The sequence below is a fragment of the Homo sapiens genome, chromosome 21 (genome assembly GCF_000001405.40).
Source record: "Homo sapiens chromosome 21, GRCh38.p14 Primary Assembly".
Classification (NCBI taxonomy): domain Eukaryota; kingdom Metazoa; phylum Chordata; class Mammalia; order Primates; family Hominidae; genus Homo; species Homo sapiens.
Window position 1 is genome coordinate 27662502 of NC_000021.9, and position 27917 is coordinate 27690418.

The window sequence follows — 27917 nt, forward strand, 5'->3', positions numbered from 1 at the left end:
TGCATGATTGTATATCTAGAAAACCCCATCATCTCAGCCCAGAATCTCCTTAAGCTGATAAGCAACTTCAGCAAAGTCTCAGGATACAAAATCAATGTGCAAAAATCACAAGCATTCTTATACACCAATAACAGACAAACAGAGAGCCAAATCATGAGTGAACTCCCACTCACAATTGCTTCAAAGAGAATAAAATACCTGGGAATCCAGCTTACAAGGGATGTGAAGGACCTCTTCAAGGAGAACTACAAACCACTGCTCAACAAAATAAAAGAGGACACAAACAAATGGAAGAACATTCCAAGCTTATGGATAGGAAGAATCAACATCATGAAAATGGCCATACTGCCCAAGGTAATTTATAGATGTAATGCCATCCCCGTCAAGCTACCAATCACTTTCTTCACAGAATTGGAAAAAACTACTTTAAAGTTCATATGGAACCAAAAAAGCGCCTGCATTGCCAAGTCAATCCTAAGCCAAAAGAACAAAGCAGGAGGCATCACACTACCTGACTTCAAACTATGCTACCAGGCTACAGTAACCAAAATAGCATGGTACTGGTACCAAAACAGAGATATAGATCAATGGAACAGAACAGAGCCCTCAGAAATAATACCACACATCTACAACTGTCTGATCTTTGACAAACCTGACAAAAAATAAGAAATGGGGAAAGGATTCCCTATTTAAAAAATGGTGCTGGGAAAACTGGCTAGCCATATGTAGGAAGCTGAAACGGGATCCCTTCCTTACACCTTATACAAAAATTAATTCAAGATGGATTAAAGACTTAAATGTTAGACCTGAAACCATAAAAACCCTAGAAGAAAACCTAGGCAATACCATTCAGGACATAGGCATGAGCAAGGACTTCATGTCTAAAACACCAAAAGTAATGGCAACAAAAGCCAAAATTGACTAATGGGATCTAATTAAACTAAAGAGCTTCTGCACAGCAAAAGAAACTACCATCAGAGAGAACAGGCAACCTACAGAATGGGAGAAAATTTTTGCAATCTACTCATCTGACAAAGGGCTAATACCCAGAATCTATACAGAACTCAAACAAATATACAAGAAAAAAACAAACAAACCCATCAAAAAGTGGGCGAAGGAGAACAGTATGTTAAATAAAATAAGCCAAGCACAGAAAGATAAACACACCTCTGTTTTACCCATATGTGGAAGCTACAGTGTTGATATAGAAGTAAAGAGCAAAACAGTGATTACTAGAGGCTGGAAAGAGTGTGGGAAGGAGAGATAGTGAGAGATTGGTTAACATACACAAAATTACAGCTTTAAAGGTGGGATAAGTTCTAGTTTTCTATAGCACTGTAGGATGAGTATAATTAACAATAATTTGTTGAATATTTTCAAATATCTAGAAGAACAGATATCGAATGTTCCCAACACAAAGAAATTATAAATGTTTGATATGATGGTTATGCTTATTACCCTAATTTGATCATGTATATGTGCATCAAACTAACACACTGTTTCCGCAAAAAGTACAATTATTATGAGTCAATTTAAAATAATAATAAAAACAGGCCAGGTGCCGTGGCTCATGCCTGTGATGCCAGCACTTTGGAAGGCCAAGGAGGGTGGATCACGTGAGGCCAGGAGTTCGAGATCAGCCCGGCTAACATGGTGAAACCCCATCTCTACTATAAATACAAAAATTAGCTGGGTGTGGTGGCACACGTCTGTAGTCCCAGCTACTCAGGAGGCTGGGGCACGACAATTACTTGAACCCAAGAGGCAGAGGTTGCAGTGAGCCGGGGATCACACCACTGCACTCCAGCCTGGGCAACAGAGTGAGACTCTATTTCAAATAATAATAATAATCATAAACAAAAAAGAAAATGAATGAAAATTAACATATTAAAAAGTAATAAACGTTATTAAAGTAAACCTATATAAATATTTTTCATGCATGAAAACAATAGCCACTCTGAAAATATTCTAAACCTAAAGAAAATATTTTTGTAGTGATTTAATTAAGAATGGATTAATACCAAGGAGTAAATTTTAAAAGCTATAAGAATAAACAAATATACGGTAAGATGTAGGTAGTAAGGATGGGCACAGTGGCTTATGCCTGTAATCCCAGCACTTTGGGAGACTGAGGCGGGAGGATTTCTTGAGTCCAGGACTCAAGAGTCAAGAACACCCTGGCAACATAATGAGACCCCAGCTCTACAAAAAATAAAAAAGCAGCTGGGTATGGTGGTGAGTGCCTGTGGTCCCAGCTACTAGACAGGCTGAGGTGGGAGGATTGCTTGAGCCTGGATGGTTGAGGCTCTGGTAAGATGTAATCACACCACTGCACTGGAGCCTGGACAACAGTAAAATCCTGTCTCAAAAAAAAAAAAAACCAATACAGGTGGTAAATAAAAGTACAAAAATTATAAATTTTGAGCATAACATAAATATATTTAAAAATTATTTGAGAGATTAAGAATAATAACTGGGAAATATTTTGAAAATTATGAACATTAGGGATGACTTTACATATTTGCAGGAAGAAATCCTGTTAGGTGTGTTTACACCTTAATAAGAAAATGCTGTTTTTAAATATATTGGTAGCAATGATCATAACAAGAGGCATTGCTGTTGAAAACTGTCTTTATTAAATTCAGAGTTTTACTTACAGTTAGTCCAAGATATTTTTTTGTAGGGCACTCAGATACTTTAAAAAGAACAGGCAAAGAGATGAATATATGTAAGAAATCTAGATAAAACAAACAAAAAGCATTCAGATCACATACAAGTGACTTAAAGAGGTATTTCAGAGCCAAACAAAAAGCTGGGATCTCCAAATAGTCTCTGGATAGGACCAAAGGGAAATTCCTCTTTGCTACTTGAATAAATTTATGCTTAGGACTCAAGAGACCCCAAGAAAGTATGAGTGGAGGCCTATCCCTAACCCCTGCAGAAGTGGCAACTGATAATCCATGCTGGGTTGTTCTTTCCCTGATCTTAGTCCAATCTGCCCATTCTCCTAATATCTAGCTTGGACGATGCTTGCCCACAGATATCAGTGTGACCTTTAAAAAACATACATAAATGCCATATTTCGTTAAGAATTAGTCTCAAAGGCCTGTCAACAGAAATACAAAGAACACATTTTTGTGATCAGAAAATTGGTCTGATAGTCATAAACTCTTGTATTTTTTTTTTTATTTTGTTTTGTGTATATTTGTTGAGACAGGATCTTGCTGTGTCTCCCAGGCTGGAGTACAGCATTGCAATCATAGTTCACTGCAGCTTCAAACTCCTGGCATCAAATGATCCTCCCATCTTGGCCTCCCAAAGTGCAGGAATTATGAGTGTGAGCCACTGTGCCTGGCCTCATGAATTCTTATTATTTAAATCTATTTAACTTAATCATCACCACACAGGTTTGTGAGAAGAGAAAGCTGGGTGGCTAATGGGTAGGGAAATAGTTGGAAGAGACACAGAGAGATACTGCTGACAGTGATGGGCGCTGGGTAATGAAAAATCTTCTACAGTAACCTTGATCCAAGTCCTAGACCAAAAGTAGCAATAAGGTTCTAGTCTCCTCTTACTTCACGTTACCTCTGTGATTTCAGGAAAAGCAATCATCAATTTCTGGCATTAATTTTCTCACCTTGGGAAAAAAGAGGTAATATTTTGAAATAACGCACGTGGACGTGCTTTCTTGTTTCAAATGCTCCGAGGTTGGGGTTAGTGTTATTATCAAATGTTTATTGAAATCAATCAAAGTTGGCTCCTGCTCCTAGTTTTATAATGGCAATATGATAATCAATAAACCCTAGCCAGACTTAGGTTATTTACAAGCTGTGTGGAAGATTAAAGGATCCAACTATAATGACAGCATTGTTGTGATTATTACCATTATGTCAGCTAAGCAGGCAAAAACATTTTAATTTTACTTAAATGGCTACAATGAGATTAGAAAGGACACATTTTTGAAAAGGATAATATTAGAAATATATAAAAACCACTTTCCTGGAGTTGACTAAAACAAATGTTTAATTGACTCTCCATGATATGAATTATCAGTTCATATACTCCTGTTAAGTCAGTTATGATCTTTTACTGAAGCCAGTCTCCTCTTTAACTTTTTCTTCTCACTAGCTGAGTGATCCTGGATAAAGTCTTTAGCAATATAGACTTCAGCTTCTTTGTCTACACTTTGAATCTGTTGGCTTACATGCCTCTTGTTTTATTATTCTATGATTCTCTCACTCTTTATTTTGCATGGCTAAACTTGGACCAATCACATAGAGAGGAATGACATGGGCCTTTCCAGTAGATCTGATACCCTAAAGGAAGCCACTGACCACCCTTCATGATTGTAGTGCTGCATCTATGATGAAACCATTTTGTAATGAGCTTGGAATTCTTGATCACATTTTCAAAATAATATGTGTATTAGTTCATTTTCACACTGCTATAAAGAAATACCCCAAATTGGGTAATTTATAAAGGAAAGAAGTTTAATTGACTCACAGTTCTGCATGGCTGGAGAAGTCTCAGGAAACTTAAAATCATGACGGATGGCAGCTCTTCACAAGGCAGAAGGAGAGAGAAGTGTGTGACAGCGCAGGAAAAGCTACCATTTATAAAACCATCAGATCTCCTGAGAATTCACTATCATGAGAACAACATGGGGGAAACTGCTCTCATTAATCAATTCCATCTCTCCCTCGATGCATGTGGATTGCATTTCAAGATGGGATTTGGGTGGGGACATGAAGCCTAACCACATCAACATACTTCAATTTTATAATGTCTTATCTTTTGTTAATTACTGTACACATGCAAGAAGTAATTATCAATTCTATGAAAGGCAGGTTTAATCTTTAGGGACAGAAAGCAGATTAGTGTTTATCTACAGCAAAGTGTTCTGAGAAGTGATTGACTAAAAAGGTGCCAAACAAACCTTTCGGAGGTGATGATTGTGTTCTATGTCTTGATTATACTTGTGAGACCACAGGTGTATGCATTTCTTTAATCTCATCACACTATCCATTTGAAATAGGTATATTTCTTTTTATCTTATTCATACCTCAATCAAGTTGATTTAAAGAAGAAATAATACACCTAGGGTTTTTACTATTGTTGTCGTATTATCTTTCTTTTGATCTCTTCTTGGTCACATGATTAATTATAAAAATAAGAAATAGAATTCAATATCTTCATCCATGCCACAGTTGCCTATTAGAGTATGAACATATCCTTCATATATTTATCTACTCCCTCAACTTTTGATTAAAATATTTTGATGTTTAGTTTTTAGGTCAAATTACTTAATGAGCAAATTATCATGAAAATGTGTAAGTCATTTTATCATCTTTGTCTTCTCCATATGTCTATTAAAAATTTAAATATATGCAAACAAATAATGTGCCAGGAGCACACCTGGTATGTTTTAGGTGTTTAATAAATGTTGGTTGAATGAATAAACAAGCATCACTGTCCTGCCTACAGCCACATCCCTACTTTCTTTGACAATACAAATTTGCAAAATTTAAAATGTTGCACCCAGTGATGATAGAGCAAGAATATCTATTAGTAAAGGAAGTTATAATCTGAAACAAAAGCTTTTTATAAAAATAAATTGATTTATAATAAATGTAATGGCTAATAATCCTAATAATCGCCTAACTCCAGAATGCATTTCTGTCAGATGGGCTAACTTTGTTGGCTTTAGTGTCTTATTTATAAATCCATCCCTTGGGATTGTCTTATCTAGTTGTTGCTTTGCATAACATCAATTTCTTTGATGCTTTTCCATTCATGCACCCTCTTAATAGTTATCTCCTGAAATTACATTGGGATCTGGAAATCCCCTTTCAATCTTTCAAAAAATACCCTCAAATTTATTTCTAACTCATAAAAATTAATCTTCCCATTTCTGTGAGAGGATTTATGAATAAGCAGAGATATTTATTTATGTGTAACTACCAGACATTAAACTTTGCTCTGGATTTCAACAGTTTTTATTGTGTCTTTTGTTTTCACAATAATCATTGAGCCCTTTGCTGGCCAAAAGCTCTGATACCCTTAAGGAGAAATGTTTTCCTGTGGTTTTTAATAAAGAGCAGAGAAAATCTTGGTTTATGAAGATTGAGAAGTATATTCACCCTATTTAAAGTTAATTCCAACTTCCTGCCTAACTCCGTTTCAAAGGGATTTAGCTTCAAATCTTAACTTTTTTTAGAAAATATAAATGGAGAATTTAGATAAACAGTAATTGTAAAAATTTTTAAATCACAAATTGAGAGAATTTCTATAATAATACATTTATTGATATAATGTTAGCACTCCATTTAATCTGATGTAAAATAGCAGCAATAGAAAGCATGGCCACTTGGAAATCATTTTTGTGATAATGCATATGCTTCATGTATGGAAATATCTTTCTAAATGGTAATAGGAAACATTTGTTGACTGTTTACCATTATCAAGTACTATTCTTAATGTTTCACATTTGGTCTTAACAATAATCCTACATATTAGATATTATTACAAACTCTATTTCAGAGGTAGCTGAAACCCAAATAAGTCCAAGTAAGTGACCCATTGTGTAACTAGAAGTGATAGAGCTGACATGTTTAATTCCAGACAATCTGAGACCAGAGCCCTTGCTTTTAACCAATATGTGAAATAGCCTCAAAATAATACTAGAAACCTTAAATCATGCATTTAGAATCATCAAATGCATCATCAAAAGCTAGTGGATTGTTTGAGGAAAATTTTCAAAAATTGAAGGAAAGCTGAAAGAGATTTTATTTTTCCCAACAGAGAGACTTTAAAAGATAAGAAAGATAATGCTGTTATTTCTTATTAAAAGGTATATGATCAATTCTCACCAATACCACCAATATCACCAATAGATAATGAGGACTGGAACTCTTTATCTCTAAAAGATGACCTGAAACACTATGGAAAAGGAAGATGCATTACAACACACTATCAAAGCATCATTTTCAGATACACTGAGTCCATCTTCTCATGGACATGATGACATAGGTACCATCATACTGCCCATATCGTGCTACCTCCTCAACTAATTTCCTTTCTCTTTCAGGGACCCTGGCAGTGGCTCCTCCTAGGTTGTTCCTAAGCCCCACATCCCCTGGCACAGCTTCCTTGGAAGAGTTGTCCAGCATCTTTGACACCCAGTGACTACATTGATCGTGCTTCTAAGGCACCCTTGTAGTCAGTCATCGCATTGCTGGGATGCCATAATTAGTGTGAGGAAATAATTATCAGAATCAGACGATCAATTCTATATTTAGGCTTTCATTCCAAGTAGATCTGATGGCTATAGCGCTGTTTGCTAAGAAAATCTCAAAGAATTTGGAACTGAAATAGTGAATTCTTTGGGGCTCAGGTGGAATAGAATTTCTCTCCTGACTCCAAGTGCGTTTGTCACAACAAAAGTGCGGGAGAAGGAAACTACTGTAGAAAAGGCACGCAACACCATCAAAGGCCACCAGTGGTTGCAAAAAGCCGTCTATGCAACTGTGATCTCTGGAAATACCAGCTCAAGGCTTTTTTGTTTGCCTCAATCTGACGTGGCCTCACCTGCCTCCTTTATTTTCAGTTGTGATCTGGATTAGATGACAATTCCAGTGATTGGTTTAGACCTATATAGCTAGCTGGCATTTTCTCAATGTATCAAGGAGTCTGTATGTCTCTCTTCCTACACACCTGCTAGGTCTCAACTTAGCTATCTGCTATAGCTTGTATATTAAAAGAATGCCTGATAGGTCTAGGCCTGGCTTACTCCTTATCTGCTACCTCTAAGGCCCACACAGAAACTGCCCATGTGTTATGTAGTCCCCTTTCCCTCTCAGGTCTTCAAACAGCTACAAAGTATCTCAGCCTTCAGCAGTTCAGATTTCTTCTTCCAGCAAATCTTCTAGAGCACAGCTCAGAGCAGTAGCCCTGCAGAGCTATTTACTCTTCAGTGACAAGGACCTTCTCTTCCTCTTCACTGTAATGATGCATCCTTATGGTTACTCTGTGGGCCTGCATATCACCTAAAATCTGAAACTGCTCCACTTCTAAAATCTTAATCCTCAACATACCAATGTTGGAATACATCTTCTTCTTCCACATTCTTATTTTCATTACATCCCCTTCTTGCGCTTAACTAGATGCTTGTTTCTGTTCCCCCCACATTCACAGAATAAATTGCCAATCCTCTTTCAGCCTTGCTTCCTACTATGTGCCTCTTGGCTACATCTTATGACTTTATACTATAATGACGCTGCCACCACTAATCCTGACTGCTTTCCCTCTGTGGGTCCGACTAATCTGTTTTTAAATCCTCTATGGTTGGGTAAAGCCAACTATTCCACCTTTTTGTTCCAAGACCTAGGCTACTCAGAACTGGTTTAGAACATCAGAAAATGGTGACAATTGACAACGCCGCAAATTCCCAAACTCCAGCTCTGGACTGGCACTTCAATACTGCCCAGAACCCCTTCTATAAGTGCGATCAGCTCTCTCTGCTTTGCCATCTAATAATTTTCTGCTTAGTACAAGAATAGTTTAAAAACTCTTGGATTTCTAAAACAAGGACTATCACAACCAATTCCTACTCAGCCTGTCTAAATCTATAATCAACTACTTTGCAGTAAAACTGATTTTTTTCTCCTACATTATCCATTATAATAAAAGGCAACATAATGTATTTAGTAACCCTTGTGAAACTTCTGGTATAGCCTTCTCCTTTTCTCCATTCAAACAGTCACTAAGCATATGAATTGCACTTCTTTATTATTCCTCCTCTCAGTCTCCTGCCCTGCCAGATTTCTGGCCACCATTGCTTCTGACACGGTCCCAAGGACACTGGCTATCCTCACACTGCTGTCTGATAAATATTCCTACAATGCAAACCAGGCTCAATTATAGGACTGTGCATAATTATGCATAGTACAATCCTCCTGCCCTTTTCCTTTACATAAGATTAAATCTAGACTATCATGCAAACCTCTCCCATCTCCAGCCATTTCTCATCTTGAACACCTCAAGTAGCCTGATTTCCTCACCACTGCCAAAGGCAAAGTGCTACTCTGTGCACTTCTTTCTTTGTTGAAAACACAACCTTAAGTTGTTGCTATTATGCAGATTTTTCTCTATGTCCAAAGTGGACATGTTAAAGTCTTCTAAAATTCTCCATAAGTCACACATTATATGTGTACACTTGCCAGAGAATGTATATGGGTATTTCTTGGGATAACTGAATTTAGCTATTGCTATGAAGAAACATACTTGATATCATCTGCAAAAGAATATATTGCAGTTGTAAGTAATGAATAAAATATGTGGTGAAATCAGTGCACCAACCTAGTGTTTTGAATCATAGTAAAATATTTAGCACTTATCCTGTGCCAACAAGAGTTCAAAATGTTTTATATATATTAACTACTGTTAATCAGCTTAACAATTGTGTGATTTCTACCATTTTATTTTCACAGATGAAGAAACGGCTATATAGAGAGATAAAGAAGCTTGCTCAAGGATACACAGCCAGAAAGCAAAAGAGTTGGAGTTTGAACTTCGACAGTCTAACTCGAGGTTCTTTCTCTGTGTTTAATCAGTCAACCACACTGCCTCTTCAGAAGCACGCATAATGTATGCTCTAAAAAGTAATGTCAATGTATTAGGTGTCAAACAGTAAATGAAATTTCTCAGAATACTGCTCTCTACCATATCAATAGTAGATTTAATACAACCACCAGGCAAATCAAGCTAAGAAACTCAGCCCTGGAGATCAGACCAAACTGGTGGCCAGCCAAGAAATAGACAAAGGAATGTTCAGGGGCAGAGTTTAGGGAGGTTGGAGTGTGTGTTCACAGGGGCAGAGGGAGTAAGGGGTGATGTGCGGTCAAGGTTTACAGGTTAGGGCATGGATCATAGAGGTGATACCAGGGAAGGGAGTACAGGAAATAATCCCATCCAAGTAAGAAATCATCAGATGCATGGTTCCGTTTTTAAGCTGCCAAAATTAAGAAGGTGGGCATGAATTTGCACAGGACTGTGGAAAACAGAAGTTTCTGGGTCTGGCTTGGGATTTTACACAGCTGCATTATGGGGGTATCACTATATGATTTCTAAGCAAAGATCTCTTGGTTTGAGAAGCTTTCATGGACAGAGAGACTGCTCATATCCCCAGAATGGGGCAGGGATAAATGGGAGAGAGATGGCAGAGAAGTTATCACTAATGAAGCGTCCCAGGTATTCTGTTGTATGTCTAGAGGTGAAAATAGAAAGCTCTGCTCCTTAAAAGCTATGAGAACTTAAGAAAGTTCATGACCATTTGTAAGCTAGGGTTATTAAGAGGGTCTGTTTTATATGGATCAATTAAGTAACAAACACCTTTTGAAATATAAGTTGAACACAGCTTTTTTAGAAATTTGTAAACTTTATTTTGATAAGCCAAAACACATATAAATATTCATATTCCTCTCCTCACATTTTTATAAGAATTCAAGCTAGAAAAAATTAACTATGTTGATAGGCTTAGAGAAAAATTAGGTGTCAGTGTCCCACAGAATTCTCTCCGTCTATTAGTTACAATGAATCTTAACAGTTTATTTTTTAATAAGTGGAATATGTTAATCAATTAACTGAGCTAAAGCTATTACCTAATGAGGTAGAAGGGTAAATTAACTGAAATGTGACTGGCATTCTTCAATATAAGAAAGACACTATTAGCCTGGGAATCACGTGGATATTCTGTGGATTCACAGACACATTAGTCCATGTGCCTTCAGTACAGCTTTACATGCAGCTTGTTCTAAAATCTCAAGTTAGCAAGTTTCTGTATTCCTAAAAGGTAATAATTAGAACCAGAGTATCTGGGGAAGTCGCCACACAGCAATAAATATTGGGTCTCTAGAGCCAAGTCTTAACATTTTGTTTTCTTAATAGCTTAAATTATTTATGAACATGTGTTTGAACAATTCTTAAATCCAGTAGCTAAATTGAGTTGCATATAGGCCTAGAAGGGTCTAGGCTAGGGCCGTTCTGTGGAAAATCTGTTAAGTCAGGAAGCAGAAATAATTCTGCTTAATCTTTGATTGTCAACCATAGTGGGGGATGGTAAGAATAATGGGAGACTTTATATAAAGGCAGCTGCTTATAATTGAGGCATTGTCAGCTGACCACAAACATTTGTTTCCACTGAGATATTCCTAATGAGTGCTACTGTTGAAGGCAATGCATTAATATTTATGTGATTATTGTTTTATATCTAAGAAGGGATCAAGAGGGTAATCAAATATTCATGTTACCAGGCAAGCAATGGGCTCACTGCCTGATGAGCATAGAAATCAATACCATGGCACCAGCTTTTGAGAAAATAAAAGCTTTATTGCAAGTGATTGGCAAGGAGACAAGAGGCAACACAAATATGTCTCCCAGTGCTGGGGGCTGGGGCAAATTTTATAGGCAGAGGGTAATGATATGATTGGATCTGGCAATGAGAAATGCTGTGAGGCATGATCGGACTGGATTGTGCCATGAAATGATGCCAGGGCTTGATCTGATTGGATCGTATATCAAGACATGAGGTGTCCACTTATTAATTCAGTCCCCCATTTCTTGGTCTGAGCACTTAGGTTCCACCCATGCTTGCAGGCTTAGATAATCTGGACATGCTCAGGTTGCATAACTTGCAACCTAGGGAATCCATGGCAACTGAAAACTCACCATTTTATTACACAAAGTTGAGTCAGATTAGGCTGGTTCTGTGGTTACAATAATCTACCACAGAGTTTTTTAAGATTTAACTTCAAATATCCTGCATCAGAACCATCTGGAAAACTTGAGAATCATCGCAGAATGTACAAAATGTTTGCTAGTGTAGCCCGGTAATATTCATGTTTTATTCTTTCTGGGCCTCTGCCAATGCTTTCTGAGAATATTCCTGAGAATCATCCACTTTGTAGCTACTCATAAATATGATGTTTGGTGACAGATCGCCTTCACTTCCCCAGTACTTCCAACACTTGTGAGTGCCTTTACTTCACTGTATTATATCTCTTCCTACTCAAAATACACAGAATGCCTTCTGCTTTCCAGACTGAATCCAAACTGATATGCTCAGGTGATAGAGAAAAGACACTGAAATTAAAAATGTGACTTCCGTTTTACTATTGCTAATAATGAAGCGTCCTTTTACTCTTTTATAGTAGGTGATCTCCCACCAGAGTGTACCAACAAGTGGATCGGTCAAGATAAATCATTACAGTGTGTCGAGAAACTATTAGAACACCTATTTAAAGGCAGTCTTAATTTTTCTTAAGTTCTAAAAGCATAAATGAATGTCAATATTTATATGTGTAAGCTGTTAAAAATTACAACAAATACTCTAATGCTTATCAACAACCCTGGTAACTAAAACATCAGCAATATTTCTGAGTTTCTCTTCAAATTCATCTTCTCTTTTCTGCTGTTTGTCTCTTTCCCAAAGTATACATTGGTAATAAAACTGAAATTTTGGTCTTCATTTCTTTACTCCATTTGCAACTTGCTTTTATATTAACTAACACAAGGATTTTCAGATTTAATTTATGTAACTTCTCTAGTAGCTACAGTTCACCCTTTTTTACTACAGAAAAGTTTTGTATTATGAGAATGTAACACAATATGTTAATTTATTTTTCTCCCTGTAATTATTATGATTCTTTTTTCGGTACTTTTGTTCGTTCGTTTGTCTCATTTGTTTTGCCAGTATACACAGTGCCACTGTTATAAGCATTCAATATTTGTTATGTAACTACTGGCAAACATAGGTCAATGTTTCCATATATATTCTCTCAGGAGATTTCTGTCTTGTTGGGTCTTCACATTCTCAGCTTCATTAGATAATGCCAAATTGCTTTTCAAAATATTCCCACTAGTGTAGAGTCTATCGGGTTTGTATGAGTTCCCGTTATTCTACATCCTTGCCAAAGCTTCATGTTTTGGGACTTGTTAATTTTTGCCAATCTGGTGGGTGTAAAATGGTATCTCATTGTGGCTTTAATTGGAATTTCCCTGATTACAAAAGCGGTTAAACTCCTTTTACAGAATTAAGAGCTATTCATCAAAATGCCCGTTTGTGCATATTGCCAATTAGTATGCTGAGTTATTTATCTTTTTCTTACTAATTTGTGGGAGGTTTTCATATGTTCTGGAGAGTAATCCTTTGTTCATTACACATTTGTTGAACCAGTCTGCATTGTTTCTCTTTGCATTTTTTGTATTTATTGCTACACAGAAATTATTAACTTTTTTCTCATTTATTTTTTGACCCTTTAAAAATTAACCCTTTGGGCCGGGCGCGGTGGCTCACGCCTGTAATCCCAGCACTTTGGGAGGCTGAGGCGGGCAGATCACGAGGTCAGGAGATCGAGACCATCCTGGCTAACACGGTGAAACCCCGTCTCTACTAAAAATACAAAAAGTTAGCTGGGCATGGTGGCGGGTGCCTGTAGTCCCAGCTACTCGGGAGGCTGAGGCAGGAGAATGGCGTGAACCCGGGAGGCGGAGCTTGCAGTGAGCCGAGATTGCGCTACCGCACTCCAGCCTGGGCGACAAATGAGACTTTGTCTCAAAAAAAAAAATAAAATAAAATAAAATTAACCCTTTTAATAGAACAAAGGCATAAAATTTTCTCCTGATTTCACTTAAAAATGTTTCATAACTTTGCATTTTTTTGTATAGATCTTGAATTCACATTACAAATGTCAAAATTGGCAGGGAATGTAAAATGAACAGGAAAACTCTTAAAGTACCTAAAATAGTAAATAAATGGTGATAATAAATATGAATCCCGTGTTTAAACTTTTCATGTTATTTTTTGTTTTGAGATTATTAAGAGAATAAATTCAAAATGAAATTACAAGTAATTTTACTTTGAGGTAAAAAATTTACTAATATGGTAATTTTATTGGAATATAGAATACTTGTAGGTCACTGGCATATTCGAAAATATACATTGTGAATTGTGCGGTAATCGAACCTAGTCCTTCTTTGAAACTGAGTGAATGTGCTATAGCTTTAGTAGGAAAACTGATGAGACCTGGTAAAAAGGCACAGCTTTTTATATCTGTTGTATTCTAACTCTTAGGAAATGTTTTTAAAGCATTCAGACAGAGGCAACAGAAAAATCTAGGTTTATTTATTCTGTTTGTTTTTCATGTAAGAATATTTGATCTTCTTACCCGCTTAATTTCACCTGGTTTGTTCAATTACTAGTATATAAACTTGTACCGAACTTTCAGAAATGTAATTTATACAACATTCTTGTGAAAATGTTTACTCTTTATCTTAAAAAATTAAAAATCGAAAGTTTGACTGCATTTGTGTCCAAATTTCTTGAGATTCAAAACATTTTTATTAGTGTTCTAATATGCATACACAGGTAAGTTCTAAATTAAGGCAGTTTAGAGTCTTTTTCCTCATATAAACATTCTATAAAATAAAATGATGGTAAACCATTATTTCACTTTTTATGAACAAAATGAAAGAGAAAATTTCAGATCTCTCTACACTCCATTCTGGACTTCAATGTGCACAGAAAGACATCAAGAGTTAACTTAAGAGGAAGAATAAAATAAATATCTAACGCCCTTTAAAGTGTTATATTTTTACGGCAAGTATCTGGATTTGTTTTTATAAAGTCTTTTAAAATTACTTTTGTGCAAGCTACCATAAAATATAATATTGATATTTTGGAAAATATCGGGGTTTAATTCTAAACTTTATTAAGTTAATATTTATCTGAATAAATTTGGAAAGTAATCTAACTTCTTTCAGCCACAATTAGTTTTCTCAGCTCCTATAGATCACACAGTTATGTGAAAAGCAAATGAAAAAGTACTTTGTAAGCCTTAATATTTTTATATTCCTGTAATATATGATGTGGAAATGAGACAAAACAATGTTATCATTTAGAAGTCCCAGAGGAAACTTCTAGTGAGTCCATTAAATTTATGTTAAATCTATTTTGAAGCTAAATATTATTTATTTTTTTGAACTACATATCTTAAAATTAGAAGTTTCCCAAGAGAGGTTATAGATGAAATTATGGATTTAACACTAGTTAGTTAAGAATGTAATCTTGTTTTAATACTGCAGGCTTTCAGCCAGGATTATACCTCATACATTGCTCGAATATTTTCCTCAAATAATTGAATACTTTGGAATGGAATTTTACATTCACTCTATATGCCAGCCCTCAAGCCTCAACTAAGCTCAACTTGAAAAACAATGCTGTACACATCACCCAAGCAAAAACTTTCTCACATTAATTAAGAGATTCTGATTGGATCCCAGCAATCAACTCATATGGCGCCATATCATCCACATTATTTGTAGAGTAGGCCATGATATTTATTACTGTTGGCCTGGCAGCTGTGTCTTTGAAATTTTGAGGTGGTTACAAATGGAAATGGGCCACATACCCCAAACTTACCTTCTTTCATTACTTCATTTTTTCTGGCACTTGTAGTTGCATTTATGGAATTTATATATTTCATAATACTGTATCCTTAAGCAAGGATTAGCAGCAGCATCAACAATAAATATGACTGAAAAGAAACCCAGGATTTTCTCCAGAACAATAGAATGTTCATTGGTGGTGGTTATATCCAATTCAAATGATAGATTTGTTAGCCTCTTCTTTTGCTTAGATTTGTTTGGCTCAAAAATAGATTCAAAGATAAACAAATTAGGTAGATCAGTATGTTCAGGAATAGTGATTGCCTAAATAACAACTAAAAGTTGTATACTAATTTTGATTATTTCATATCAATATTAATTACTTTAAGATTCATAAGAAAGCAAAGAAAATATAAATATACATGTTAATGATCAGTCTTTTTGTCATTTGATAAAGGAATTAATTTTATTTTGATGTGGTTAAGGATAATGTCAGCCAAAACTAAATCTATAGATTTTATCACATTGAAAAAAATTTAGATGTAAATATGAAAAGAAAATAATATGAAGATAGAAGTATTGCCCTTCAGAGCTTGAAGGAAAGACTTCCTACCATGAAGTCTGTTTATACTAAAATAACTTCTGCCTTTTTATCTGTTTCTCTATGTATTTATTAGAATCTCACCCACATAAAACATGTCTACTGAAAGAGATTGTTTGCAAATTAGTGCCCAAAATGTACTTCCTTGTACATATGCTTTTGGATAATCGCCCAATCCTGCACTGACTTTTTCATTGCCATGTGACATTCTCTTTTGAATGGGACAATAATAAATGAAAAGTGCTTGCATGCAGGGCCTAACTTCTTTTGCTACTGAGAACGTGTCCCAAACCATGTGAACAAGCCCAGGCAAGACTCTTGGAGGGTGAGAGGACACTCAGAGAGGGGGCCCACCTGTCCCCCCATTTCCTCTTAGCCATTCCACCAGTTGGATATAAAGATTAGTTACATGAGCGCAGACTGGGACCATTACCCAGCTGAACTACAGAATCAAAGACAAATATGTGATGATTGTTTTTGCCACTAAGCATTGGAGTATTTTTTAATATGACAAAATGCATTTATCATCATTATATTTTCAATAAAACAGAAAATACAAAAGAAAGCAATTTGTGGTGAGCTTATTAATCTGATCTTTATTCTTACCTTAATATGTATTTCCAAGAACTGAGTTTTGACAAATTCTCACATTTGCACATTTATACACTAATGGAACATGCAGTCTTACATACAACTTTTTTATAGAATGACTTGAACACTACAACTAGCTAAATTAAATTTTTAAAAATGGTTCATGTATAATTCTGAATTAAAATTTTAAAATTAATTTTTAAAAGCCATCTTAATACATTTTATGTACTGAAATTATGTTTATGTTACTATGAAATGGAATCTTTGTTTAGAGCTTTTATCTTTGGATAATCTGTTGTTTGTATCACTCTACCCAAGACAGAATTTGCATGTGATTTTGAATGCCCTATAGGGATGCAAGATTTTTCTAGACTTCTTTGTCAGACTTGCAATGGGGGTGCCTCATTTACTTGGCCCACCTTGCTCAACCACTTGCGGGAGGGAGCACATGAGTGAGCCACTATGGGATCCAGGGGACTGCTTTGGGCATTGGCAGAAGCAAGCTCCATGGGAGCCCTGAGGCAGCACCCAGGTGGGGGTGCCTGTGACACCTGAAGCCCCAGACATGTTACAATGCTCTCTTAGCTCCACTGTCCATGGACAGTGGTGTGTTATCAGCTCAGTGGGCCCCTTGCTTCATCACATGGGGAGGCTGCCCTCCACCAGTGAGGGAAAAGGGCCAGTGTGAAAACCTTTGGGGGGTACCTGCCTTGGGTGGGTCCCAAGCTCTTGTCCAGAGTCCAAGAAGAATGAGGTCACACAGACACTTGAAGGATAGTGGAAGTGGAGAATTTTATTTAGCAATGGAAATGTCTCTCAGCAGAGATGGGAGCTGGACAGGGGATGGGATGAGCAGGTAATCTTTCCCTGAAGTCAAGCTGTCTCTCTTCCAAAATCCAGCCATCCCTCTAAAGTCAAGTTGCCTCTCTACAGTCAAGCCACTTTTCTCTCTTCTACTGACTGAGTCTGGGGTCTTTATAGGCACAGGATGTGGGGCAGGGTGAGCCATAGGTAGTTTTGGAAAAGGCAATATTCTATTGGTAAAAGTACATTATTCAGAAAGAAGCAATCAGGAGAGAGTGGGAAAACAGGGATAGAAGTTCTAACTTTGGGCAGCAGGTTTCAGGCTTTTCAGCTTAAAGGTGGGGTTTCACTGGGGACCCTCCCCTGTCTGCCAAGAATTTCCATGCCTCCTGCCTCTATCAACAGGAAAACATATTCATGAAGTGCAAGAGCTGTTGCCAAGTCTCATGAATATTCTCAAATATATTCTCCTGAAGGAAAAAAATGACTCAAGGGGAAACAATATGAAACAGACTTTATAGAAATTAATATACACTCCAAGCCAACAGAAGGATTACAGATCATGCCTTCAGCCACAGAAAGTACAAGAAGAAGCATCTGAGGGAACAGTGGGCAGAGTAAATGCTGTGGAGTTACAAAAGAAATGTCTATAAGTCAACCCTGCAGGTAATAAAATAGGTTCTGCATAGTGGTATTTGTTTGTCCTTAAGCTCCACTCACCTATGTGTTTAAAATTTGTATATCTGTTTTATATCAATTTATTTTATTCAAGTCCATATCAACATGGATTCTAAAAACTGGCTTCACAGCTATTTCTGCTAACTTCCTGAAAAGCCTGATTTTTGTCTAGAAAACAAATAGAATAAACTCAAGTTTCTCTCCTCTGGTCTTCTCGTATCAATGGCATAGCACTATGTTCAATGTTGTCATAGGGACCACCTCTTACACTCTCACAGTGACCTCTGTTGCAAAAGGGAACCATTATTGTCCTGAATCCCTAAAAACACACCAGGGACAGGGCTGTGCTTTCTAAGAAGATTTGACAAAACCAAGAAAAAAAAAGAAATTAAAAGAAAAAGTAGCTTATCACTATTATTATGTACTCTTAAAATCCAGAGTTCTAGGGTGTACCTCATCATCCCTGATTAGAACCTGGTAGTTTTCTATGTAGTAGTGGCCAACTCAGCCTGACCAACAGGAATGCATTCCTGAAACTCCCTGCTCTTCTTTAATGATAAAAGATTTTATTACTTGTCCAAGTTCAAGTCCCATCCCATTTTCTTCTCAAGATATACATAATTCATGATTAATAATAAAACAATTTCCTTGGAGAATCTCTCCCAACAGAAAATTGGCTGTATCCAAGGCACAGTAAACAAACATAGTAGTTGAAAGTACATTATGCCAAGTTTGTGTTTATTATCTTAATGACACTATAGGTATCTCACCCTCAGTTGGCCTAGATTTTTGATAACCAGAATGGGGCATCTCCTTTACATGATATTTCTCCTAAAGTTAAATAAAAGTAAAATTAGACATAAAAGTCCTTGTTGCTAAGATCTGGTTTTCTTCTACTGTCTACTTTGAGTAAATGCAGAGACTAAGACAAACAAACAAATAGGACTAAAAATATATTGCTAAAAATCCATTTTTGATCTTTATAGTACTTTAAATCTCTATTTGGGAACTCTTTTTTTCAGACAATTTTTTAAAAACAATTATATTATTTTTAAAAAATGGTTTAAAGTTGATCAAGTTATGGTTTATGTTCAATAATAGTTTATAATCAAGTTATTTCACTCAACTTTTATTGGTGAACAGAATACTTAACATTGTCTTATAAAGCCTCTATGTGGGTTCCTATTTTAGTATGTTCTACCTTATATGTGGATGATATTAAGCAACTCTTCTCTCAAAATAAAGGTATACACTCCTCTAAAGACAAACGTTGATACCCTGAAAGCAGAAACAAATTTACCTCTGTCCTAATGGTGGTTTTCTGGCCACAAATCCTACTACAAGTTACCCATAGTAACTTCTAGCAATTCATAGCAATATCCGAGTTGCCAATAGATTATCAGAAGGCACAGTACTGTGAGTCATTCTTCTGGAATGCTAAGACAGAAATGTGAAAAATAAATTTACTAAAAATGAGCTGAGATATTGAAACCCTTCAGGAGAAACAGACAATGGACCTGAGATATCAGGAGCTCTTTTGAAGATGGCCTACCAAAGTTATCAAAAATCAACTTAACTTCAGGAAAGCCATGCAAAAAGGAGAGTTGGGCCTTAAAATGCCCATGTTAAGTAGCTGTTGGATGAGATAAGTGAATATGAAATAATTCAATGCTTACTACCTAGAGGCTTCAGTCCTGCCCTATAGTGATATGACCTTTGAGGGAATTCACTGTGTTAAATTGTCATGCTTACTGATGAGCTCAAAACTGCCTAATAATCTTCTGAGTAGATTGATACCAAGTGTACTTCATGATAGTATTTTGACTCTGGATACCTAGTTGAACTTAAGAAGGCCTTTGGTGATCACTGCAGGCGTCCTCTGATTACAGATGGTATGTAAAGGAATAGGGCTAGATAAAAATTTTAAGGAGGGCCAAAAGACAAGAGAAGGGGACACAGGACTGTATTTTGAGGCACTTTAGAAGTTAGAGGTCAAGGAGAGAAGGAGGAATCAGGAGGAAACTGAAAAAGAAACACCTATTGATGTGGAAATATAATCAAAAGAATGTGGTATACTGAAAACCAAAGGAAAGTTGTATTTTAAAAAGACAGGAGAAATCGCCTGTGTCAAATGTCACCTAATACAATAAAATAGAATATTGCAAGAAAGAGCGTGGTGTAAGGGGGTAGTTATTTTTGGCTGATCTCTGTTCTGATTGGCTAACACCCATGCCACACCCTAAAAGGCAACGTTAGTCCAACTTTTCTGGAATTTGGGCGAGAAGTGCACAGGGAAGTTAGAGTTGGTTTTAAGCCTACTCTACCTTGTCCCAAAGATGTCATGTTGTCAACATCTTCAGTGGCAAGAGTACGTGGAGACAGTGGAAGAATGACTAGGAAGGGAAAGAAAAAAGAAATAGGGCAAGGGATAGTTTAGCTTGTACATACATCAATATTTCATTCCTTTATAAGAAATTACCTAAGGAAATGAAATAGAAGTTTTTCTCTATTTTTGCCTTTCCTAAATACTAAGAATTAAATTCCTTGTTAAAACTAAACTATATCAAAAGAGAAATACATAGAGAATAATAAGTATTTGAGGAGCTCATTGATATTGACACCTATTAATCATCCTAAATATCTAAGGACAATACACAATTGTGTTTTTATGACTGATTAAATTTCAAGGTGATTACTTCAGAATAGATTGTGTGTTGTTGTATTTTTTAAAAATTATATGCTACATTTGGTGCACAGTCATTTCCCATTCTTCATATGGCACATGGCGCTTTCTTTAATGACACATGTGGGCTGGGAAATGTCTCAATGAATGGAAGGTGCAATTCCAGTCATTTAATACACCCTGCTGCCAGTCAGTGCATGTTGCTTTTTGCCATTCACTTAAAAATTCCCTTTTGTTTTATCAACAACTTCACCTCCGCTAAAAACAGGTTGTCAAGAATGACTACACCTGGCATTTTATTCATAAGGAAATTTCACATTACATCATAGTATTTGGAAAGAGAATGTGGAAAGTTGATATTCTCTCTAATCCTTGTGCTTTACTTCACTTTTTTACGTGAAAAGTACTGTTAACAAGTATTTTCATGATTGGCATCAGCAGTCAGGCTGTAAGAAGTTAAGCATCCAGCACATCTCAACTGTGTAGCCATTGATCCAAATGCTCTCCTTTCCCCCTGAAAAAAGTAGGGGTCACAATCTGGTTATGTGGCAGTTATCTTCATGACCAAGCCAATTCATGGTGACAGACTATTCTATTCCATTAATTTCTAACCCAACATGAGGCTGTAGGTGGTGGAAATCAGGTTACATTTTTAGATATACAATAAAACCCATTTTTTAGAGCTAACTTACTCATAATTAGTATTATCTAGATAAGAGCTAGGATGAGAATTTATCTCTACAAAAAAAATTTTTTTTAATTAGCGGGGCACGGTGGTGCACACTTGTAGTCTGAGCTACTCTGAGGGTTGAGGCAAGAGAATCCTTTGAGCCCAGAGGGTTGAGAATCTAGTGAGCCATGATTGATCATACCCCTGCACTCTAGCCTGGGCAACACAGTGAGACCCTGTCTTAAAAAGAAAAACAGACTACCCAATTAATAGCGCAAACAAAATTTCAGGGGTAAGATATCTGTATTTATTCTATCCATATATAATAGAAAATCCATTTGCTCAAGTAAAAATTTTAGTTGTGATCAAATTCAAGATGCTTAAGTCTTCCAGAAAATATCAACTGTAATGTGATCTTAAGGATGAAATGTATTTATTTATTTACTTATTTAATTTTTGAGACAGAGTCTCACTCTGTCACCCAGACTGGAGTGCAATGGCACAATCTCGGCTCACTGCAACTTCTACCTCCCGGGCTAAAGCGATTCTCATGTCTCAGCCTCCCGAGTAGCTGGGATTACAGGCATACTCCACCAGTGCCTGGCTCTAATTTTTTATTTTTAGTAAAGACAGGGTTTCACTATGCTGGCCAGGCTGGTGTCGAACTTCTGACCTCAAATGATCTGCCCCCCTCGGCCTCCCAAAGTGCTAGGATTACAGACATGAGCCACTGCGCCTGGCCAAGAATAAAATTTAAAGAGCAAATCAAAACCAAACAGTGTGATTATGCAGGTTATCATGAGTAATATTTGGGGCACACTTTCTAGGAAGAAATCAGTAGCGAAATAGATTCTTAGTAATTGAATCTAATTACTCAGATAAATTTATCACACACTTGTAAATCACTGAGAAGCAATAGGAATTGGCTGAAGACTCTAGACTTGGAATTAGGAAGCTTGGCTTCAGACCTGAAGATTTTCTGGATTATTTTTTGACCTTGATAAAGTACTCATAACATCTCAAGCCTTTTTGTAAAGAGAGGAGTAGTTTTCATGATCATTAACCTTTTTGGATTGTGAAAATTTCTTAGTCTAGGATGAAAGCTAATGACCCATTTACCCAGAAAAACACAAGAAAGTACAAACCCAAGGTTTAAGGATACTCAAGGCAACCAAAAACAACACTGCCAGTTAGTTTTTCTGTGCATATACATTTATTTGTGTATGTTCTACAAAATATATTTTATATGTATAGTTTTGTACCTTTCTATATGTTCCATTTACAGTTCTGTAACTTTTTTTCTTTCATAATGAATGGGTATTGAAATTTGTTAATTTACATTTCTGCCTCAAATGAGAGGCTCATATAATTTTTCTTTGTTAGCTTGTTGATAAGGTAGATCATATTGATCGATTTTCAAAAGTTGAACTAGCCTTCCACACCTGAAATAAATCATATTTGATTTTGATGCAAAATTATTTTTATACATTTGTTGGATTTAGTCTGATAGTATATTATTGAGAATTTTGACCTCTACATTCATGAAAAGTATTGATCAGTATTTTTCTTTGCTTACAATTATCTATTTGTTTTTTGGTATTAGGTTAATTGTGGTTTCATAGAATAAATAGGAAATGTTATTCCTCCTATTTTCTGGAAGATTGTAGAAAATTGGTATGATTGCATTGTTACATGTTTGATAGAATTAACCAGTGAACCAACAGGCCTGGTGCTTTCTTTTTTCAAAGGTTATTAATTATATATTTAACCCTTTTTATATTTATAGGACAATTTAGAGTATTTATTTCTCTTTCTTATAGTTTTTGTCCTTCAAGGAATAGGTCCATTCCATCAAAGTTATGAAATTGGTGGGTGAACACCTATCAGTAGTATTGCTTTATTTTTGTATTACTTTCCATGGATCAGTAGTGATGACCATGCCCTCATTTCTGATATTGGTAAGTTGTATCTTTCTTTTTTTCTTGGTTAGCCTGGCTAGATATTTACAAATTTTCTTGATCTTTTCCATGAATCAGATTTTGTTTCATTAATTTTCTCTATTGTTATCCTGTTTCAATTATATATTTTTCTTCTGTAATTCTTATTATATCGTGTATTTTCTTGCATCAGGGTTAGTCTTTTCCTCTTTTTACAGTTTTTAAAAGTTTAAACATAGGTTATTTATTTTAGATCTTTCTTTTTTAGCATATTTATTTCATGCTAGAAATTTTCCAATAACCATCACTTATTTTTCATTATATTTTATAAATTTTGATGTTATATTTTTAGTTTCATTTAGTTTTAACTATTTTTTATTTCTTTTGAGATCTTTTCTTGGCTCAAGATTTATTTAGCAGTTCTATTTTTTAACATCAAAATATTTGAGAATTTTCAGGTCTGTGATTGCTTCCTTGCTGAATTCCATGTAATCTGAAAACATACTTTGTATAATTTCTTATATTTTAAATTTCAGAAGGTGTGTTTTATTACCCTACATATTGTCTATCTTGGTAAATGTTCCATGTGAAATGGAAAAGAATGTTTATTTTAATGTTGGGTAGAATAGTCTTTAAATGTCAATCGGGTCAGCTTACTGATAGCGTTACTCAGGTCAACTATATTTTTACTTGTGTTTTGCCTACTTGATCCTATTAATTATAACACGTCATGTTGAATTCTTCATGTGCAATAATTGTTTTGCCTTTTTTACCTTTCAATTCTATCCGCATTGTTTCGTGTATGTTGACACTCTTTTTAGAGGTATACGTATTTAAGATTGTTGTCTTTTTGAAAAATGGACATTTTTGCAATTATGTAATGTCTCTCCTTATTGCTGATAGTTTTTCCTGTTCTGAAGTCAGCTGTCCGATATGCAGCTATCTACTGCAGCTTTCTACTGATTATTTTTAACACAGGATATCTTTGTTTATACTTTACTCTTAATCTGGTTGAATGTTTATTTTTAAAATGGGGTTTCTCATTAACAACATATAGTTCATTGGGTCTTGAGTTGTTATTTTAATCCACTCTCACAATCTCTGTTGTTTAATTGGCGCATTTATTCATATTTAAGGTGCTTATTGATATAGAAGGATTAACAGATAACATGTCTGTATGCTAATATGTTTATATTTTTTTCTATTCCATTGTATTTGTTCTATGTTTCTCTTTTCCTTGTTTATCTGCCTTCTCTACTTTTAATTGAATATTTTCTATAATTCAATTCTTCTGATTTTTTTATTCTTAGTATATCAATTATATTTCATTGTTTAATAATTGTGTGCTTTTCAAGAACCTATGATATTTATTTTTAACATTACACATAACTACACTTCATGGAAATGTAACCTTTATGACATTTCTGTCATTTATTGAATTTTACTTGGCATAGTCACACAAAACATTGTTACTATTATTGCTTAAAATACCTGTCTTTTAGATCAATTAAAATTAAGAAAAAATACGGTTTTTGGGAGGCCGAGGCGGGCGGGTCACGAGATCAGGAGATCGAGACCACGGTGAAACCCTGTCTCTACTAAAAATACAAGAAAAATTAGCCATGCTCGGTGGCGGCTGCCTGTAGTCCCAGTTACTCGGGGGGCTGAGGCAGGAGAATGACGTGAACCCGGGAGGCGGAGCTTGCAGTGAGCCGAGATCACGCCACTGCACTCCAGCCTGGGCGACAGAGCAAGACTCTGTCTCAAAAAAAAAAAAAATACGGTTTTTATTCTACTTTCATTTACCCTTCCAACACCTTTTTTTATGTAGATCTAAGTTTCTGACATAAATTAATTTTTTTTCTGCCTGAAGAACTTCAAATGTTTCCTGAGGACAGGTCTGCTGAAAAAGATTTCCTCCATTTTTATTTCCCTAGAATAGTCTTTACTTATTCTCGCTTTTGGAAAATAATTTTGGTAGATATATTTTTCTGTGTTTGGTTCTTTGCATGGTTTATGACAAAAAATGTGCTGTAATTTTTATCCTTATTTCTTCATATGTAAGTTGGATTTCTCTGCACCTCTTCTCTCTGTGTTTCTTTCAAGAGTTTCTTATTTTCTTCTTTGAATAAGAAATGTGTAGGAATAATTTTTGTGGTTATTAATCTTGCTTAATATTCTTAAAGCTTCCAAGAACTATTTTTTGTGTCTATTATTAATTTTGGAAAGTTGTCAGGCATTAATACTTCAAATAATTATTCTGGTATTCCCTGGTATTCCAGTTGTGTATATATGTCTTTTGATATTAGTGTACTCTTTGGAGCTCTTATTTTTCTGTTTTAATTCATTCTTTTCCATTTCCTATTTCCTGTTTCCCTTTTAGTTTGGGAAGTTTTTTTGTTGTTGTTGTTGTTTTTTCTTTTGTTTTTTTGAACCTACCATCAAGTTTGATCTATCATGAATTGAAACTATTTTTTATTCCCTGCTTTTATTTTTTTATTACTCTTTTGAGTTTTTCTCCCTCTCTCTCTCTCTCTCTGCTTATATTATGCATTTGTGCTTGTTGGTTGTCTATTTTTTCCATTAGAGTCTTAAGAAAATTATGATAGTAACTTAAAAATCCCTGCCTGGAAACTGATAATGCCAATATCTGAATCTGGGTCTAGTGATTCTTTTGTCTATTTTCCCTGTTTATTGTGGTTTTTAAAAAATATTTGTTTGGTTTTGCCTTTCAGTATGCCTTGTGTTTTTTTCTTGTTGTGGTTGTGGCTGTTATGAGGTTGAAAGTCATACATGCTGTATTGGATAATACTAAATGAGGTAACTAGGCCTTTATTGTGAGAGTCATGTTAATCTGGCTAGAAGTTAGTTTGTGTTTATTATTTGTTATATGTATTAGTTCCAATGACTTCAAATTCCCCCTTTTGACCTTGGGCTTCTCTATATATCTCTCTCAGAGAGATTCTGTATTTTTTAGTTCTTTAAATAAACAGGATTTTTAATAGATTTAATAATTTAGATTAATATTTTAAATTTAATAAATAGATTCTTTAAATAAATAGATTAAATAAATAGATTCTTTAAATAAATAGATTAAATAAATAGATTTTTAAAGCTTCCTGTAGTCATCCTTTTCTTTCAAGGTTTTTGGTCAACCTTTTTATTCCCATCTGGTATTATTCCCCAGGCATCTATATTGTTAAACAATTGCTGCTAATTGTTTTCAGCAATCACCCAGGGACAGGGATTTTCTTATTGGATGAACTCCATTGAATGAGCTTTTTTTCCCCCTATTTCTACTGAATGAGTTCTTTTAATATTGAATGAGCTCTTGTCATCACTAAGTGAAATAATCACAAACCCTGTGAATGGAACTCTTCGGGGAGTTGCCAGGTAAAATAGTGACAATTACCTGATGATGGGGCTTTTTGACAAACTCCATTCCTACTATACCTACCCTCATAGCTGTTAAGTTGCAGTTCTTCACAACTACCATGATTTAAAAGCTGTTGGTTTTTAAGACAACAACAAAGCTGGTGAGTGGAGAATGGAAATAAAGCATGTTAAAAAACAAACAAACAAACAAACAAAATTGTTCTTACCAAATTTTAACCATTTTGCTTGAATGAATATTCCTCAGCTAGTATAAGCCTCTAGTTAAGTGTTCTAAAACAGTTGATTTTGGCCATTTTGGCCAATGTTCCCTCACTGTTTGTGTAGACGATTATATTTTTGGAGTTTCTAACTCCACAATTCGAAAAGTTTCACTCTGTATTGTTCTATAAGTCAGTTCTCACATTGCTATAAAGGAATGCCTCAGACTGAGTAATTTATAAAGAAATAAGGTTCAATTGACTCATGGGTTCACAGGCTGTACAGGAAGCAAGGCTGGGGAGGCCTCGGGAAGCCTCCCTGAGAACCTAGTCATGACAGAAGGTGAAGGGTAAGCAGTCCTGTCTTACATGACCAGAGCAAGAAGAAGAGAGACAGGGGGTGGTGCCACACACTTTTAAACAATCAAATCTCATAAGCACTCATTCACTATCATGAGAGCAGCAGTAGGCGGATATCCACTCCCATGATTCAGTCACCTCTCACTTGATTACACCTCCAACATTGGGGATTATAATTTGACATGAGATTTTACACAGCATCCTAAACAGCCATCTAAATAATGAGATACATATATGTATATACATATATCTCATCATTTTGAGCTGCAAACTTTTACTGGAGGCAATAGAAATACTAAATGTGAATAAAATATGTGTAATGCTCAAAGGACTTTGCTTCAAAACATCATGTTGTAAACATCACGTTATTTATGTAATTATGTATAAGAATTTTGGAATACAAACAATATTATTTTTATAGCAGTAAGTACAATAGTTTGTGGCACTTTTCTGTTGCTTTAGCTTTTCATAATTTCTTTTTGCGATCGTTTACAATGCCCATTCCCTAAGACACCCTTGAAAAACGTATCTATACACTGAGCAAATATTCCAGAAAATA

At 35.5% G+C, this 27917-nt stretch overlaps 1 long non-coding RNA gene across 2 annotated transcripts in view; it reads left to right on the forward strand.

Annotated features, from left to right (window-relative positions):
* The window catches only part of LINC01673 (long intergenic non-protein coding RNA 1673), a 36413-nt gene extending 23884 nt beyond the window's left edge, over window positions 1-12529 (forward strand). The window contains exons 3-5 of one of the 2 annotated variants that reach the window (NR_183538.1): window positions 6851-7029; window positions 9489-9645; window positions 12207-12529. This is a non-coding gene — a long non-coding RNA (long intergenic non-protein coding RNA 1673). The remainder of the gene's footprint in view (window positions 1-6850; window positions 7030-9488; window positions 9646-12206) is intronic. The other variant, NR_183539.1, reaches the window with a different exon arrangement.
* The last annotated feature ends 15388 nt before the right edge of the window (window positions 12530-27917 follow it).